General features: G+C 41.2%; 1 protein-coding gene across 8 annotated transcripts in view, besides 2 other annotated features; it reads right to left on the bottom strand.

Moving 5' to 3' along the window:
- The window catches only part of STK3 (serine/threonine kinase 3), a 598,636-nt gene that overhangs the window by 489,302 nt on the left and 89,719 nt on the right, over nucleotides 1-19,615 (bottom strand). The gene's annotated exons all lie outside the window — the stretch shown is intronic.
- Nucleotides 9,307-9,806: an enhancer, noted in NCBI's record as "H3K4me1 hESC enhancer chr8:99854811-99855310 (GRCh37/hg19 assembly coordinates)". NCBI's record gives its function as "activates a minimal SCP1, AML or CMV promoter by ChIP-STARR-seq in primed H9 embryonic stem cells {active_cell/tissue: H9 hESC(primed)}" and the evidence as "EXISTENCE:reporter gene assay evidence [ECO:0000049][PMID:30033119]".
- Nucleotides 17,992-18,142: a silencer, noted in NCBI's record as "fragment chr8:99863496-99863646 (GRCh37/hg19 assembly coordinates)". NCBI's record gives its function as "represses an EF-1alpha promoter that drives an FKBP-Casp9 reporter gene in an ReSE screen in phorbol 12-myristate 13-acetate-treated (for megakaryocytic differentiation) K562 erythroleukemia cells {active_cell/tissue: K562(+PMA)}" and the evidence as "EXISTENCE:reporter gene assay evidence [ECO:0000049][PMID:32094911]".

A 19,615-nucleotide genomic window follows, 5' to 3' on the forward strand; every position in this document is an offset into this window, starting at 1 on the left:
GAGTTAAGTTTTGCCTAAAGAGTTCAAATCAGCAGAAAGAAAGTCTTGTAGTTAAAATAAGGGGGGTTATGGGAGCCAAGGTTCATGTTATGTAGATGGAGCCTCCAGGTAGCTGACTTCAAAGGGAATAGATGGTAAATGTCTCTTATCAGATATTTACCAGTTAAATCTCTCCTGGATCAGGAAAAGATATGGAAAGGGAAGAGGATTCTCTAGAGAAAGTAAATTTTTCCCACAAGAGACAGCTTTGCAGGGCCATTCCAAAATATCTCAAAGAAATATATTTGGGGGTAAAAATACTTTGATTTCCTTTAGGGCCTGTTATTTGTCATGTGATGTGACCAGAGGCAGTTTGGAGTTGGTATCTTATTGCTATAAAGAGTCTGTTCTGTCAATCTGAGGATTGCTATTTTAATGTTAACACTGGTCAGTTGTGCCTAAACTCTACTTCCTTCATAACCTGAACTAGTTTTTCAGGTTTCTTTGGAATCCCTTGGCCAAAAGCGGGTCCATTTAGTCAGTTGAGGGGGGTTAGATTTTATTTTTGGTTTATAGCCCCATCTCTGACAAAGAAAAGGGGATAACCAAAACCTGTTACGACCATTTGTGATTCACCCCATGGAGGTGGGTTTAGAGTTGAGGCTGGGACTAGACTTCCCTGAAGTTTATGGCAAAGAGAACCATGCAGAGAAGAACTGAGAAAAAAAAAACCTTTATCTGAGGGATGTGAATCTTTAAAAATTATCAAGCCCATTGAGACAGCAATCACATTCTACTCCCCTGCAACCACCTGTTTAGCTATGTATTCATCTCTTAAAACTGCTTGCTATTGCCACAAGTAGCTATAAGTGTACCTAATAATGTAGCACCAGACACCATAAGCCACACTTTATAGTTGAACAATGTATAGCAAATCAATAGCTTATGTTATTTTAATATACATTCTTGGCAATGGAACTGCCTCTTCTTTCCCTTTAAAATTCTACTTATAACTGCTGCTAACTGGAGTGCATATTCATGGCAACTTGAATCTGTGCTCCCAGGCTGCAATCTTCCAACTTGACCCAAATAAACTCTCTACTTATATTAATTTTGTCTCCACTTCTTCCTTTAGGTCAACAGAACAAAATTGGAATCCGATTATGTAGAAAAAATGGGGAAATTGTAATTAGACAACAGACTACAATGTCTGCTACACATAAGTACTCAGAACGTTATAATCAATTAATACATGTTTGTTGGATAAATGAATGGATTTCCAAGCAAAGAAAACATAAGGAGGCTAGGAGGTCCAAGATCAAGGGCCTGGCAGATTCAGTGTCTGGTGAAGGCCAACTTCCTGATTCATAGACAGCCATTTTCCCCCGTGTCTTCACATGGTAGAAGAGGTAAACAGCTTCCTCAGACCTCTTTTGTAAGGGACTAATTCCATTCATGAGGGTAGCCCTTATGACTTAATCACCTCCAGATGCCATCACCTTCAGGGGTAAGATATAAGGAATTTAAAGAGACACCGTAATTCATAAACTATATATTTTGTCAACCTTAAATGATGAGATTCAGAAAATATGATTAAGTATAGAGTTTACTCCAGCCCAAAGCTTGAGAATGACCTTCTGATGAATAGCAGTTACAAGTGGGGTGTAAGGAAAAAAGAAGAGGCAATTCCTAAATTGTTACCAGGAATTTACATTGAAATAACATAAGCTCTTGATTGGCTATTCATTTTTTGTTTGTATCACAAAGTTCAGGAACATAAAGATAGTGGGTGAGGCAGCTAGACAGGAACAAAATGCTTTTACACAGTTGCCCCTGGGCATGGGTTGGAAGAGGCATGACTGAAGTTCCATACTCATGACTCTCTGGGCCTAAGAGAGTCATTTTGCATACCTCACATAGCTCAGACTACTCTGAGCTATTTTTCTTTTCTCATAAGAGAAAATGAGTATGCCATTTGTGATTTTGTTTCTTCTCAACTCTAGATTGATCCTTCATTGCCTGCTCTGTTAAAATAGAGCTAGGTCCTTTAAGTAATTTTTCTTTACCAGATGGCATGATGGTAAACTTTGTCAGTGGACAGCACTGGAGAGACATTGCAAAAGAAAAAGGTTTCCTTCCTGGTGGGCATATGTTCCCTCTGCAGGCTCCTGCACCCAGGGCTGCTTTTCTGGGTCCTACTAAATGGGCAACTTCAACATTGTCCAGCCAGGTCCTGCAACACATGTACCTTCATCAGCCTTTGGTTCCTGCAGTGCAGAGCAGCAACAGCACCCAGTGGCCAACAGTTTCCTTCCCACCACACCCCACTCCTCCCTCAGGCAATTTTGCTACCGAGTGCCCGCATTGAGACACCTCACCATGAACAGCTTTCCCAGAAACCTAAGAGGAAGATTTCTGCAAAGTTCCAGAAGGAAGATTTCCAGCAAGTTCTGTCAGCATGGCACTACAGTAACTTCTCTGCCATTCAGTGAGACACAGCTGTGTCCTCTTCAACAAGGTCTGGATCTCAATCCTGGGGGGCCTCTTCCTTGGATGCTCTAGCTCAGCCCCAGGGAGGAGTAGCTGTTATTCCTGTTGTCTTAGTCAGTTCAGGCTGCTATAACAAAACATCATAAACTGTTGGCTTATAAACAAGAGAAATTTGCTGGGCATGGTGGTTCACGCCTGTAACCCCAGCACTTTGGGAGGCCAAGGTGGGCAGATCACCTGAAGTCAGGAGTTCGAGACCAGCCTGCCCAACATGGTGAAACCCTGTCTCTACCTAAGATACAAAAATTAGCCGGGCGCAGTGGTGGGCGCCTGTAATTCCAGCTACTTGGGAGGCTGAGGCAGGAGAATCACTTGAACCCAGGAGGCAGAGGTTGCAGTGAGCTGAGATCGCACTATTGCACTCCAGCCTGGGCAACAGAGTAAGACTCTGTCTCAACAGAAAAAAAAAAACCCACAAGAGAAATTTATTTCTCACAGTTCTGGAGGCTGGGAGGTCCAAGATCAAAGGTCTGGCAGATTCAGTGCCTGGTGAGGGCCAACTTCCTGATTCATAGACAGCCATCTTTCCCCGTGTCTTCACATGGTAGAAGAGGTAAACAGCTTCCTCAGACCTCTTTTGTAAGGGACAAATTCCATTAATGAGGGTAGCCCTCATGACTTAATCACCTCCCAAGTCCCCATCTCCAAAGTCACCACCTTCAGGGTTAGGATTTCAACATATGAATTTTGGAGGAAAATAAACATTCAAACAATAGCACCTATATTCTTTAGAGGTGTCTTTGCTTCTTACTAGCCAATCCCTTGTTACTCCAGTCCTCAGTTATAGTTAATAATTCTTTATATTAAACTTTTCCTGTTCAAATAACTGTGGTCTCTATCTCTTGTGGTTTCTGTATCAGATTGGACCTTGACTGAGACAGAGAGTAATAGCAAAGAATCCCAGGCCCCACTATAAACTCAGAAAAATGATTTAGATAAGATCAGATTGATTTCACTTTCAGTTCAACACATAATTATCTACATCAGCAGATCTCAAACTTTTCTGTCTCGGTACCATTTTACACTTTTAAAAACTATGGAGAAGCTTAAAGAGCTTTTGTTTATGTGGATTATATTTATCAATATTAAGAAATTAAAACTGAGAAAATTTTAAAACACAAGATACATAAGCACACATTTCATTAGGCATCAGATCAATGATATCATTACATATCCATGTGGCATCTGGAAAACTCCATCATACACTCATGAAAGAAGGAGACTGAAAAAGGCAAATAATATTTAAACCTTGTTTTTAAATAGTTTTGACCTTGTGGACCCCTTGAAATGGTCTCAGATACCCCCGGAGGTACCTGGATCACACTTTAAGAACTATTGATCTAAACTAACTTTATATAAACACAATAACTAAGACCTATGAAGGGAAAATATAGAAAATATGGCCCTTGCCCTCTCAGAACTGCTTAGTTGAAGATATAGAGTATATATTCATGAAAGAGTAAAATAACAATTCAATTCTGTATGTAATAAACTATCAGTAAGTTCTATCATTCAGAAAAGTGCTGTAGTTCAGGCTGATAACAGGCTGGAGCTCAGCAAAAAAAAAAAAAAAAGAAAGAAAGAAAAAAATGGCTTTCATTTTATAAAATTCACCCTCCTTATACAGTAGTTACAAGGAGAAAAAACGTTTCCTTTATGTACAAACCTAAGTTCCAGAACAAGCTGAAGATCTCTCAAAACACAGCAATGATTGGCTAAGACACTAAACACAGCCACAGAGCTAAGGAAGAGAAAAGAACCAACACTAAGAATCTGAAAGACTCCATAAGATGAAGCCCTTTCATAGTGAGTCTTTAGTTACATTGATATAAGGAAACTTGTCCAGGTATGGTGACTCACATCTGTAATCCCAGAGCTTTGGGAGGCCCAGACGGGAGGATCCCTTGAGGCCAGGAGTTCAAGACTAGCCTGGGCAACATAGTGTAGACCCCCATCTCTACCAAAAAAATGTAAAAGTCAACTGGGCATGGTGGCACACACCTGTAGTCCTAGCTACTTGAGAAGCTGACATGGAAGGATCACTTGAGCCCAGGAGTTTGAGGCTGCAGTGAGCTATGATTGCACCACTCCACTCCAGCCTGGGTGACAGAGCAAGACCCTGTCTAAAAATAAGTAAATTAGTCTTGGTGTGGTGGCTCACACCTATAATCCCAGCACTTTGGGAGGCCAAGGTGGGTGGATCACTTGAGGTTAGGAGTTTGAGACCAACCTGGTCAACAGGGTGAAACCGTGTCTCTACTAAAAATACAAAAAAAAAAAAAAAAAAAAAAGTCAGATGTGGTAGGGCACACCTTTAGTACGAGCTACTCGAGAGACTGAGGCAGAAGAATCGCTTGAACCCTAGAGGCAGAGGTTGCAGTGGGCCAAGATCATGCCATTGCCCTCCAACCTAGGTGACAAAATGAGACTCCATCAAAATTAATTAGTTAAAAAATATATAAGAAACCTAAACTCTATAAACTAATGTTTCTTGCTTTAATCATTTTTCTTTATATATTTTTGATCTTTCAATTTCTTTTTATTCCTGCCTGTGGCCTCTATGAATAATTTCTAATGTGTCTTGACTGAACTAAGCAGAAAGAAGACTTGTTTACTTCTAGGCGAGGAGAGTTAGGGAAGTAAGAATACCCCTAGATAAATGTGTACTGGTGGCATCAGTTAATGCTGTTGGAAAACAGGGCAATGAGGCCTAGAGCAGGAGCGAAAAAAGAGGAGAGGTAGATGCTTAGTAGACAGAGAGAAGCTGCAGTAAACTCAGCTGCCCTAAGGCCAGTCTGAGCATGTGATACATTCAAAGTAAGCTCAAATTCAATTGCAAAAAGTTTGGAAAGATGAAAATTTTTACTAAAAATCTCACAGAAGTGCCGAGGGAGGAATTGTATGCATATTAACACAGCAAAACTTCCCAAAAATCCTCTTTACCGGTCTTTTTCCCTAAAGTTTTCCTGAAAACCTGCCCAAATAACTTCTCCAAATAACTTCACCAAACTCTCAAGGTTATTCCATTTTCTCATACTCACCCTTCTCTCCCTCCCCGCAATCCCGCCCCCACCCTACCATCGAGGCCGTTTACCTTCCTTGGCTATTACTTCAAGACCTTTCCCCCAACACACAAAATAATAATTTAACCTTCTTCTTTGTTTTTGTTTTGTTTGTTTGTTTTGTGTGTGTGTGTGTGTGTGTGTGTGTGTGCGCTTGTGGCTTTTTTGTTTGTTTGATTTTTGGGGGGGGGCGGTTTGAGACAAGGTCTCACTCTGTCACCCAGGCTGGAGTCCAGTGGTGTGATTTCGGCTCACTGCAGCCTCAAATTCCCAGGCTCAGGTAATCCTCTTGCCTCAGCCTCCGGAGTAGCTGGGACTACAGGTGTGCATCACTAGGCCTGACGAATTTTTACAATTTTTTGTAGCACCAGGGATTCCCACTATGTTGCCCAGGCTGGTCTTGAACTCCTGGGCTCAAGCAATCCTCCTGCCTCGGCCTCCCAAGTGGTAGGACTACAGCATGAACCACCATGCCCAGACTAACCTCTTCCTTAACTCAACATAGATGGAGAGATAAGAAATGAAGGATCCTTCCTTCAGTGGGTGGGAGAAGTAAAGGGAGAAAGACTGAATATTCAAACTTTAATATTTTTGTTCCTTTCAAACATTCTTTTTACCAACATTTATTCATTAAGTTGCCAGACACAGATAATGAAGTGTGGTCCCTAACCTGACACTATGGAATATCCATCCCCATTACAATCTTCTTTTTGCTCTTTCTTTGGAATTCCTTTCCAAAGGGAGTGATTCCCTTACAAAAGGTAATTTTTTGCTTAATAAAGTGATTATTTTACAAAAAATTATCCATGGAATACTTTTACGTGGTTAATTTCCCTCAGGTATTTAAACTACGATTTCAATCTCAGTCTTTAGGAGAAAGAGGGTAAGATGACTGTGGCTTCTAAAATTTCCTTTGAAACAAAGTCAAAGATATTAGGAAAGTTATCTCAGGGGCACCTTGCGAATAAATCATCATCCAAGGGTTTTGAGTAACTCAAAAGTAAAAAAAATAGATTTTTCTGCCATATAATCAGTTGTTATAAAATACCGTCGACAAAGAACTGTTGAATTATCTCTTTATATTTAGCCACAAATAAGGGGAGAAAGTAATAGAGAAGGGTCTGAACACCACAGATTTATGCTTAGTAAATGGAAATTATTTTGAAAAAAATAAAGAGTAAGGGCATTAAAAATATAGGCTGGGTGCCGTGGCTAACACCTGTAATCCCAGCACTTTGAGAAGCTGAGGCAGGTGGTTCACTTGAGGCCAGGAGTTCAAGACCAGCCTGGCCAACATGGTGAAACCCCGTCTCTACTGAAAATACAAAAAATTAGCTGGGCATAGTGGTGCATATCAGTAATCCAGCCACTCAGGAGGCTGAGGCACGAGAATCACTTGAACCCAGTAGGTGGAGTTTGCAGTGAGCCAAGAACGCACCACTCCACTGCACTCCAGCCTGGGCAACAGAGTGAGACTCTGGTTAAAAAAAAAAAAAAAAAAAAAGACCAGCCTCGGCAACATGGTGAAACCCTTTCTCTACAAAAAATACAAAAATTACCTGGGTGTGGTGGCACCTGTCTGTAGTCTCAGCTACTCAGGAGACTAAGGCAGGAGGATCTCTTGAGCCCTGGAGGTGGAGGCTGCAGTGAGCATGATCACACCACTGCACTCCAGCCTGGGGCAACAGAGTGACAACCTGTCTCAAGAAAAAAATGTATATATATATATATATATATATATATATATATATATATATATATACACACACATACGTTTTATATATATTTATATACACACACATAACTTATTAATTCCTATCTGTATTAATTGCCTATTGCCGAATATCAAATTATCCCCAAATGTAACCATTTAACATTTATTACCTCCTAGTCTCTGTAAGTCAGAAATCCAGGTGCAACTTATCAGGACCCTTCAGTTCAGGGCCTCTCAAAAGGCTGCAGTTGAGGCACCAGCCCTGTGTCTCTCCCAAGGCTTTAGTCAAGGTGATGGCCAGGGCCATAGTCACCTCAAGATTTAACTGGGACAGGATCCACTTCCAAGCTCATTCAGGTGTTTTTGGCAAGATTCAGTTCCTCATGGGTGCTGAACTCAAGACTTCTGTTCCTTACTACCAGTTGGCCTTTGAGAGGCCCCTCAGGTCCCAGCCATGTGGCCGTCTCTAGAGGGCAGCACTCAGCATAGAGGCTGGCTTCATCCAAGTGAACAAGTGGAGAGAAGACAAGAGAGCAAGCAAAATGGAAGTCACAGTCTTTTGCAACCTAATCAGAGAAGTGGCATCCTATTATTTTTTTCTCTGTTCTATCAGGTAGAAACAAATCACTATGTCCAGCCCACACTCAAAGAGAGAGGATTACACAGAGCTTGAGTACCAAGAGATAACTTTTGGGAGGGAGGGATATGTTCATTGTCTTGATTGTGGTGATGGCTTCACAAATGTGTATATAAATCAAAACTTATCAAACAATTGATGTACAATAAACTGCACTTGAATTATGTACAGTTTATTGTATGTCAATTATATCTCCACAAAGCTGTTTCAAAAATAAAGCATTATTTTATCTGTGTGCAAAACTGAGGTTCTTTAAAGCAGGAACTATTTCAATAATTCTACCATTTCACCTTAAGAACTCTAAAAAAAGAAAAAAAAAGTACAGGGTCTAGCATGGTGGCTCATGCCTGTAACCCCATGGCTTTGGGAGGCTGAAGTGAGAGGATTGTTTGAGCCCAGGGGTTGGAGATTACAGTGACCTCCACTGCACCCCAGTCTGGGCAAAAAAGAGAGACCTGGTCTCAAAAAAAAAAAAAAAAAAAAATTTAAAAATGTAAAAAATAAAAATAAAAAGTTTGGACTTGACAGTTCTATGGAAAATGGAAAAAGATGAAAATAATAATAGTAATAAAAAATACAAGGTTGTCTACTGCAGACTATAAGAAAAATAGGACTTCAACAATCAGGAAAGACAAAGTATCTTTCTAATCCAGTGGCTCTAACTTTAGTATGCATTAAAATCACTTGGAGAATCTGCATTTCTAAGTTTTCAGGAAATGTTGATGCTGCTGGTCCAGAGACCATACTTTCAGAATCAGTGTTCTAGTTCATCAGCAATAATCAACTAGAAATTGGGAAAGAAAAAGATAGCATTCACAAATATAACAAGCTCCATAAAATACATAGAAATAATCCAAAAGAAAACTATATAAAACCTATATGAATTTTAAAAAAAATAGTGAAGGGCATGCAAGAAGCTCTGAATAAAAGATATACCATGTTCCTAAATGAGACGATGCAATATTTAAAATTTTTAAATTCTCCTTGAATTAATATATAAATTTAGTTAACTGCAATTTTTTAAAGTCTCAAAAGGACCTTTTACAGAATTTAACAAGTTAATTCTCAAGTTAAAATGGAAAAGGAAATACATAAAAAGAGCCAATGAGGTTTTGAAAAAATGAGCAATTAAGAGAGACTTGTCCTAGCAGGTGGCAAAACATGGAATAAAACCATGGAAATTGGCCAGCCTTACACCTATAATCCCAACACTTTGGGAGGCTGAGGCAGGCAGACCGTTAGAACTCAGGAGTCTGAAAACAGCCTGGGCAACATGGGGAAATCAAGTCTCTACAAAAAAATGCAAAAAATTAGCTGGGCGTGGTGGCATGCGCCTGTAGTCCCAGATACTCAGGAAACTGAGGTGGGAGGATCACTTGAGCCTGGGAGGTTGAGGCTGCAGTGAGCCTTGATCACACCATTGCACTCCAGTCTGGGTAACAGAGTGAGATCCTGTCTCAAAAACAAAACAAAACAATGGAAATTAAAACAGTGTGGTATTGGCTGGGCACAGTGGCTCATGCCTGTAATCTCAGCACTTGGTAGGCCGAGGCAGGTGGATTGTTTGAGCTCAGGAGTTTGAGACCAGCCTGGGCAACATGGTGAAACCTCCCTGTCTCTGTCAAAAATACAAAAAAAATTAGCTAGGCATGGTCCTTAGCTAATTAGCACGTCTGTGGTCCCAGCTACTCAGGAGGCTAAGGTGGGAAGATTGCTTGCGCCTGGGACGTGGAGGCTGCAGTAGCCAAGATCATGCTACCATGTACTCCAGCCTGGGTAATGGAGTAAGACTCCCTAAAAATAAATAAATAAATAAAGTGGTATTAACTTAGATATAGATAAATTAATATATATAATATATAATAAATAATAAGCCCAGAACATAACCATTTTTATCTGGAAATGTTGTTTATGATAAAGTGACATTTTACATCACAGAGAACAGATCACTCAATAAATTAGGATGAAACAGGTGACTTTTTGGAATACATAAAATAAAGTTAGATCTCTGTTTCTATAACTCTGCATCAGTTAGGCTTCTTTATATTGCAAGCAATTGATGATCCAGCCCAAACTGCCTTACTCAACAAAGGGCCCATTTAACTGAAAGACCCTGAAATAGAGCAATTCCAAATTTAGGATTTGCTTTGAGTTGGTGGCTCAGTACTGACATGAAAGACATTGGAGTTTTTGTTTATTCACTTGTTTTATGTTTTCTTTTTCTGCCTCTTCATTCTGACATAGGCAGTGTCAGCTGCTTCCTAAGACTTCAATGGCTGCCGAATTTGCCAAGCTCCAAATCTTACACAAAACTGCCCCAAAGGAGAAAAATACTATCTTTTGGTAGCTCCTTTATATAAGAAGGAGAAACCTCCTCTTCCAGAATGCTTCCACAACCTCTTCTTGTCATTGGCTCAAACTGTCGGCTTGACCATTCCCTAGCAGGCAATGATTTAGTTTACGCCTGAAACAACAACTGGCTTATCTGAATAAATCTTTGTGGAAAGAGGGATGGAAGCCGTGCCTGGTGGCTCACGCCTGTAATCCCAGCACTTTGGGAGGCTGAGGCGGGTGGATCACTTGAGGTTAGAAGTTCAAGAACAGCCTGGCCAACATGGCAAAACCCCGTCTCTACTACAAAGACAAAAATTTGCCGGGCGTGATGGTGCATGCCTGTAATCCCAGCTACTCCAGCGCTTTGGGAGGCCGAGTGGGAGTATCGCTTGAGCCCAGGAGTTCAAGTCCAGCATAGCCAACAAAATGGGACTGCGTCTCTTAGAAAAATGAATTAATTAAGCCAGGTGCAGTGGCACATTCGTCCTAGCTACTCAGGAGGCTGTGGTGGGAGAATCACTTAAACCCAGGAGTTCAAGGCTATGGTTGTGCCACTGCACTCCAGCCTGGGCGACAGAACAGACCCTGTCTCTAAAATAAAATAAAATTTAAAAAGGCATTTTGTTTAGCAAGTAAAAAATTGTGAGCCACTATGCCCAGTCCTACCTTTTTTATTTTAAAATTATAAAACAGCCATGGGCTTCAAGGAGACCAAACTCCTTCCCATTACATGAGAAGAAATCTTAATTAGACTATGTCCAAATCTAAATAATTTCATTATCTTTGCAATAATTGGTTCAGCTATGGGAATATGATGTCATTCTAGCCAATAAGATGAGAAGAAAGGAAATAGAAGAGAACACAGCCTGCAAGGGGGCTGACAGTATCCCAACACAGCTTGGTTTTGTGTGTGTGTGTTTTTGTTTTTTTTGAGACAGGGATTGGCTCTGTTGCCCAAGCAGAAGTGCCTTGGTGCAATCTCGGTTCACTGTAACCTCTACCTCTTGGGCTCAAGCCATCCTCCCACCTCAGCCTCCCCAGTAGCTGGGATTACAGGCCCGCACCATCATGCTCAGCTAATTTTTGTACTTTTTGTAGAGATGGGGTTTCACCATGTTGGCCAGGCTGGTCTCCAACTCCTGAGCTCAAGGTATCCTCCTGCCTCAGCCTCCAGAGTGCTGGGATTACAGGTGTGAGCCACTGTGCCCGGCCCAAACACAGTCTTAAAGAATGTCAATGATTATTGCTAGCATGATCAGATGGTTATTCCAACTGCAGCTGTTCTTCTAAATATGCACTGGGGCAAAATGCTACAGCTTCAGTCACTGGTATACAGCTTTGGAGCTAGGAAGTGTTTTTTCTACTTTCCAATAAGCAAAGTACACCAGAAGCACTTTGCTTTCACGTGACAAAAACTGACAATGGTTGGAGCAGAGCATCCCAGTGGCAATGACTTGAGATTGTCACTTAGTTCCTTCTGGATCCCTGGACTTGCTCTGGTTCTTATCCTCTCTGAGACCCTATTCTATAGTTTTTGCCTCGATTCTATGGCTACATCATGGCCCTCTAATAACTTTCTTTTTTTACTTAGAGTTCATTTCTGTTACTTGCAAGAACCCTACTAGCTATACCGACTTATTTTTTTAAACCACGTATTTATTTCACTGAGTTTTTGTTTTGCATTCAGTTTTATAATATATTTATCAATTTTATGTCTTATGTGCTTACTTGATTTTGTTACATGTCAGCAGTTCTTTTCTACCACAACTTCCTCATTCTTAAATTCTTAAGTTTTGACGAGTCTCTCAATGTAATAGAGCTCATCTTTAAGAAACTTTTCAGACAGAACACATAGATGGTCTAATTCTGAGATCTTTTATAACTGAGAATGCCATTCTTTTGACATCACACATGACAGCACTCCCACCCTCAGTTTCTATGGGTATTGCTTTATTGTTTTATGGTATTTGGTGTTACTCAGAAGCCTGAGGCCAATCTGATATTTTTCCGCTGAAAGTAACCATTTTTCCACGTTCATATACTTGGAAGTTTTCTCATATGTTTTCTTATTATTTCTGCTTCCTTTGTTATTTTTACCTTTATAAGTTCTACACAGTTAGTCTGGACTCTTGCAGTTGCTAATGACAGAAAATCAACTTCAAATTGATCAGCATTCAATTGTGGGCAAAAGAATTCATTGAAGCCAGTTTAAGCAGAGAGATACTTACTAAAGTGTATTAACTTGCTGCAGAATGATTGGAAGACTTGTAGCAGGAGGCTGGACTTTCAGGAACTCCTGGAGCTACATTGAAATCTACCTCAGCAAAGTTGCTGCTACCACTGCCGCTGCACCACTACTGACTTAAAGACCAGGCTGCCTTTAAGCCATGGTCAAGAAAGTTGCCAGAGTAGGAAGTTGCTGTTGTCACTGCTGGTTGCACAGAGCTAGGAACTGACAAGACATCAGAGCTTCTGACAGCTGCTGCAAAAGCACCAAAATGCCTCTGCCACTGTGCTGCTGGAATAGCCACCTCATAGGACCCATAACCCTCTTCCAAATCTCATTCAGATGCATCTATGTGATGGATGCTACATCCCATGCAGAAATCCTCACTGCAAAGGTCTATGGGTAATGTAGACTTCCATCTTCCAGCCTCTGATGTACACGAAGTCTCATTAGTATGGGGTTGGAGCAGTATTGAGTGAACCAATTGATAGTGTCTGCCACACTCACTAGAATAAAACAAATTTGTTCACCCATGTCCCTGGGAAGGCCAAGGAATAGAGCTGACTCTAGAAACAAATGGAAGCAAAAGTTCAAACCATGACACAGGCATTCTTTCTCTCTTCCTATTTTTCAGTTCTGATTTTATTCATTTAACTAACATTTATTAAGCAACTACTATGTTCCAGACACTGTTCTAAGTGCTGGGATGCCGCAGTGAACAAAACATACATAAGTCTTTGCCCCCTTGGTCCTGTTTTCTGGGAGAGCTTTGTTTTCTGGCAGATTATTTGAAAATGGCAGCAAAACTAGTTCCCAGTAGCTCCAAGCGTATAGGTTACTTAGTGCTTGAAATATCACAAGAAGAAAGGTTTTTCCTCCCCCAAAGCCCTATAAATTCCACACAATAAAAAGATTCTAATTGGTTTTATTATATGATGTATCCAAGACCAATCAGGTATTGAGGGGCATGTACCATATGTCCACTGGATGTGGAGAGACTGTTCCCAAACACAAAAGGTGCTGAAACCACAAAGATAGAGTTGATGTCCGTTTCATTCCTAAACTATTCAGGATCCTACACACACACACACACACACACACACACACATTTTCATATACTTTAAAAAGTGCCCCCCCATGACAATGCAAATTTTTCTTCCACAAATGAAAACACACTCTCTTTCTCCCCAAAAGAAGAAACCTCAAAACTCATCTAGTCACCATATTGTGCTCTAAAGTCCCAGAATTTTAGGTCTAGATATGACTCTTCATTTAATAACCAATGGATAAATTAAAAATATAGGCTGGGCACAGTGGCGAGTACCTGTAGTCCCAGCTACTCAGGAGGCTGAGGTGGGAAAACTGCTTGAAGCCAAGAGTTTGAGGTTGCAGCACGCTATGATTGCATCTGTGAATAGCCACTGTGCTCTGGCCTGAATACTCAGTTTTGCAATATATGAGGTGAATCAGAAGACCACAACAAAACCTCTTATTTGAAAACTGAGAGCCAATTTCCAGTGGCCACCATTCTATAGCATATACCTGTGCTGCTAAAAGAAAAAGTAAGGAGTCTGCCCTAGCAGTAGGGTGAATCTTGCACTGTCAACTCCATGAGCTAGTAACCAAAGCCAAAGATCTGCCAGGTCCTGAATTTTGAACCCGAACCCACAGCCCAATGGCTTTTTCTCTTTGCCACAGACCTTGATGCTGTGCCCATACGCCTCGCTCTTGGTTTAACTGTATTGTTCCTGGCTGTGTCCCAACACCCCAAGATCCAGTAGTCTTTCTCAGACCACATCCCAGTGGTTGTCTTTAGTAGCAGAATTACTGTCACCTTTGTAGTGCTGAGAAGTAACAGCAGGAGGTGTCTGGAGGAGGCCTGGGGGTCAAGCTTCTACCACAGCCAGGATCTTTTTCCCTCTTTTTTTAAAAAAAAGGTTTTTTTTTGTTTGTTTGTTTTTACTTTTAAAAATATTTCTTCCTAATTATGTGCTTACTTAACCCCAGCCAGTTTTATCTTCTGCAATTCCCACCTGCCTACCTTACCTCTCACTAACTTTAGCTCCAGGTTCAAGTAGGGAATAGAGTCCTTAGACTTCTCCAAATGCACATGATCAGCTGCTTCTTAGTTATCCTACAGGTATCTCAGATATCTTGCTGGTTACAGACAGAAAGGGCCTCTCCACAGAGCTATATGTCATTCCCCTTCAGCATGCTGTTTATTCAGCATGCTGTTTAGGTTAAAGCCTTCTTGTTTAAAAAAACAGTTGTATAGAGATATAATTTCCATGCCGCACAATTCACTCATTTAAAGTGTAAAGTTCAATGACTTTTTAATATCTTCACATAGTTGTGCATCCCTCACCATAATCCATTTTAGAACATTTTTATCACTCCAAAGAAACCTAGCACTCACCTCTCAATTCCCTCATCCCTCCCAGTCCCTGGCAACTACTAATCTACTTTTTTTTTCTTTTTTTTTTTTGAGACAGAGTTTCGCTCTTGTTGCCCAGGCTGGAGTACAATGGTGACTTCTCAGTGCTCCCTGCAACCTCCGCTTTCTGGGTTCAAGTGATTCTCCCACCTGAGCCTCTCAAGTTGCTGGGATTACAGGTATGCGCCACCATGCCTGGCTAATTTTGTATTTTTAGTAGAGATGGGGCTTCTCCGTGTTGGTAAGGCTGGTCTCGAACTCCTGACCTCAGGTGATCCGCCTGCCTCGGCCTTTCAAAGTGCTGGGATTACAGGTGTGAGCCACACATCTACTTTCCGTCTCTACAGATTTACCTATTCTGGACATTTCATATGAATGGAATCATATAAAATGTGGTGCTTTGTGACTGGCTTCTTTCATTTAGCATAACATTGTCAAGGTTCATCCTTGTGGTAGCATATATCAGAACTTCTCCTTTTATTGCTGGATAATATTCCTTTGTGTGGATGTACTACATTTTCCTCAACCATTCATTAGTTGGTGGACATTTGGTTGTTTCTTACTCTTGGCTATTATGATAATATTGCTGTAAACATTCATGTACAAGCTTTGATGTGGACATGTGTTTGCATTTCTTGTGGAATACCTAGGAGTGGAATTGCTGAGCCATATGCCAATAGCATGTTTAACTGCTTGATGAAGGCTGTAATTTTCTTGAAATTATTAAAAGCAGCCAGGCACAGTGGTTCAAGCCTGTAATCCTAGCACTTTGGGAGGCCGAGACAGGCAGATCACGAGGTCAGGAGTTCGAGACCATCCTGGCTAACACGGTGAAACCCCGTCTCTACTAAAAATACAAAAAATTAGCTGGGCGTGGTGGCTGGCACCTGTAGTCCCAGCTACTCAGGAGGCTGAGGCAGGAGAATGGCGTGAACCCAAGAGGCGGAGCTTGCAGTGAGCCGAGATCACGCCACTGCACTACAGCCTGGGTGACAGAGTGAGACTCCATCTCAAAAAAAAAAAAAAAAAAGAAATTCTTAAAAGCATAAAAAATCATCAACTTATTCCAATATCTGTATATTTTCTACAAGTCACTAAAGCACTAGCTATAGAAGGCACATGATCAGATTTCTCAAATATAACATGTGTGGTTACCCTATAATCCAAGTGTTCAGTTCTTAGATGGGGACAGAAGAATCCTTATTCCCACTTACATACCTCAACTCACCCAGTTCTTCATGTTAGGGCCTAAGACTTGCTGCACTCCACTTCTAGTTACCAATATTTATCTTATGATTGCAAGTAAACCAAACAGTTAGGTCTCACATAACTGAGAAGTTTGGGAGACCTGACTTCAGATATAGATGGATGCAAGGGTTCAAACTGAATAGAGACAGATGCCAGCTTTCTACTTTTCAGCAATCCTTTTTCTGCTTTGGCTTAATTCTCAGGTGAGCTTGCTCTGCTTGACAACAAAAGTGCTCTTAGAAGCTCATAATTTCAGATACCAAAAGAGATCCGTATCAATCTCTTCATAAATTGCTAACTGGCCCTCCTTGGAGGTGGGGGTGGGGATTATTTTTACTCCTTGTTCAATTTCCAGGTCCAAAGGAATAGGGTGGTCAGCCTGGGTTACAGGCCCATTCCTGTGGCAGGAATCAGGGGGTCAAATGATTGCTATACACACTAGGTATGGCATGAGAGGTTACTGAAAGGAAAATATGCCTGCAAAACAGAAAAGAAACAACTGTTCAACACTTTCTGTATCTATTATTCAATCTCATAATTTTCATTTTTATCTCTTTATCACTTTTATGGGTTTCCTATGAAATGTTTCTCAAATTTGCCCTATACATCATTTATTCGGTTTTCTGCAAGGTGAAGTCTATAATTCACCTTCCGCACTTTGGTTTCTGTGTAGATTTAAAAAAATGATTTACGTATTTATTATTTATTTAATTAATTTTTTTAGAGATGGAGTCTATGTTGCTCAGGCTGTAGTGCAATGGCTATTCACAGGGACAATCATAGCACACTACAGCTTTGAACTCCTGGACTCAAGCAATCCTCCCTCCTCAGCTTCCTAAGTAGCTGGGACTACAGTCAACATGCCACTACACTTGTATTTAAATGTTTACTGTGAGTCTCCTCTGCTCTGGGTATTGGGCTGGGACAAGGACCCTGTCTTCAGAGAGATTACTGTCTAATGGAGGAGGAAGCCAAGAAGCAGAAAATTACAATAAGATGATATGATTAAGGTAAGCTCATGGGGCTTACAAGCGCACAGCACAGACATCCAACCCAGCTTGGGGGTAGTCAGAGGTTTCCTAAAGGAGGTGACATCTTTCAAGAATGAGTATTGATTACACAGGGAATGAGGGCCAAAGAAGGAAGGGAATTTCGGGTGTTGGAGCAGTATGTACGAAGGCATGAAGATGTAAAAGGGCCTGTCATGAAAGAGGAACACCAGTGATTTCAGTGTGACTGCGACGTGCAGTGCGTGGTGGGCAGCAAGAATGAGGCTGGTGAGGAGCACAGGGGCCGGGTCATCAACCACACCTGTGTGCCTGGGGGTTCAGAGTTTAACCTGGGGCAGTGGAAGGGTTTAAACAGGAGAGTGTCATGATCAGAGCCGCATTTTAGAAAGGCAGCTCCAGGGCCCTTCAGAATCAAGAAGATTGTCCAAGAGATTACTGCAGCCACAATGGTGAGAGAGGGTGAGGAACTCAATTATGAAAGTGTGGCAGGTGTGTAACCTTCACATGCCCAGCTCCTTCTTGTGATTAAGTCAGAAGCTCACCTGGCATCTCCTAGGAGATTTTCTCTGCTCTCCTAGAAAGTGATCTTCATATAGCTAAAACCTCCTCACCTTTAAGCATCTGAGCTCAATGCTCACATTGAGATGTCACATCTCAAAGAGGCCTTCACCATTCTAGGGAAGCAACACCCCCAACCATCAGCACTGACTTAAGTATAATTTCCATGAGGACAGGGAGTCATCTATCTTACTGTTCTCTGTACTCCAGAGCCCAAACAGAGTAGGAGCTTAAGAGCATGTGTTTAGTGGGTGAATGTCGAATGAACTGAAGCCATTCTCATCTTCAGGCAATGTGCGGAAGTTCCTCGAGCCCACGCTAGTATAGAGAAAGGCTCTTGTGGCAAGGTCATGGTTGAAAAGACAGAGGTTGCAGAGTCAGAGGGGCCTTCAGATATGACCATTCTCTGAGCATCTTATCTTGCCTTCTGTGTTACTACAGCTCTACTGGCCTGAAGTGTGTTCCTTAATGTAATCAACAATTAGCTCTAAGGAGTATGAAACTGCATTTTTGTCAAAAACTATCTTCCTCAACTACACGGAAAAATCCATTTTTAGAGTGAAGAAACATGAGGTTAAAAAAAGAAGAAGAGAAGGAGAAGACAGAGAAGGATGAGGAAAGGAGGGTGAGGAGGAATAGAAAAAGGAGGGGTAGGGCATGGTGGCTTATGCCTATAATCCCAACACTGTGGAAGGTAGAGGCAGGAGAATCGCTTGAGGCCAGGAGTTTGAGACCAGCCTAGTCCACATATCAGGCTTTTAAATTTTTTTTGAAGATACCTTGTCTTTACAAAAACATTTTTTTAAACAGTCAGGCATGGTGGTGCAAACCTGTAGTTCTAGCTACTTAGCTAGAGGCTAAGGTGTGAGGATCTCTTGAGCCCAGAGGTTCGAGGCTGTAGTGAGCTATGATTGTATCACTGTACTCCAGCCTTGGAAACAGAGTGAAATCTGCTCTTAAATAATAAATAAATAAATGAAAAAGAAAAAGAAAGAAGAAGGCAGAGCCAAGAGACAGAAAGACAAGAGAATGATGTATAGCATTCAGCTACATCTCTTAGACTTTGCAATTCTATGAACTAACAAGTTGCCTTTGGAGCTAAGCTAATTTTCTTTTTTTTTTTTTGTAACAGAGTTTTGCTCTTGTTGCCCAGGTTGGAGTGCAATGGCGTGATCTTGGCTCACTGCAACCTCCGCCTCCCAGGTTCAAGCAATTCTGTCTCAGCCTCCCGAGCAGCTGGGATTACAGGTGCCCACACCATGCCTGGCTAATTTTTGCATTTTTAGTAGAGGTGGGGTTTCACCATGTTGTCCAGGCTGGTCTCAAACTCCTGACCTCAGGTGATCCACTCACCCTGGCCTACCAAAGTGCTGGGATTACAGGGGTGAGCCACTGTGCCCAGCCTGGAGCTAAGCTAATTTACACTGGCTTTGGGGACTTTCAAGTAAAAACACCCTGACCCAGTTAATAATAAATCAAATAATCAATCTATCCCTATACCTATCTACTAATATGTTCTTCAAGGACATAGTTGACAATTCACTCTTCTGATTTAATTTCCTTTATCTTTTCTACTCTCATCTTTTCCTTGAGATTTAAAAAAAAGCCAGAGGGTGGAAAAAACTTTGCAGGGGCAATTCTCACAGTTTATTTTTGTGTTTCTCTCAAATCTCCTTACATGTTTATGTAAGATACTACTGTGGGTCTCATGTTATCCACAGAATCTTAAAAGGGATTATTAGCATAGCTGTGGCTTTCTCCCTTTAAAATAAACCCCATGTTACTTGGAATTTGTATTCCTCAAGGGACCATTTTTTCCAGATACACATCATACTAAATACTTTAATCAAATGTGTAATCAA

Source organism: Homo sapiens, chromosome 8 (assembly GCF_000001405.40).
Source record: "Homo sapiens chromosome 8, GRCh38.p14 Primary Assembly".
Classification (NCBI taxonomy): Eukaryota; Metazoa; Chordata; class Mammalia; order Primates; family Hominidae; genus Homo; species Homo sapiens.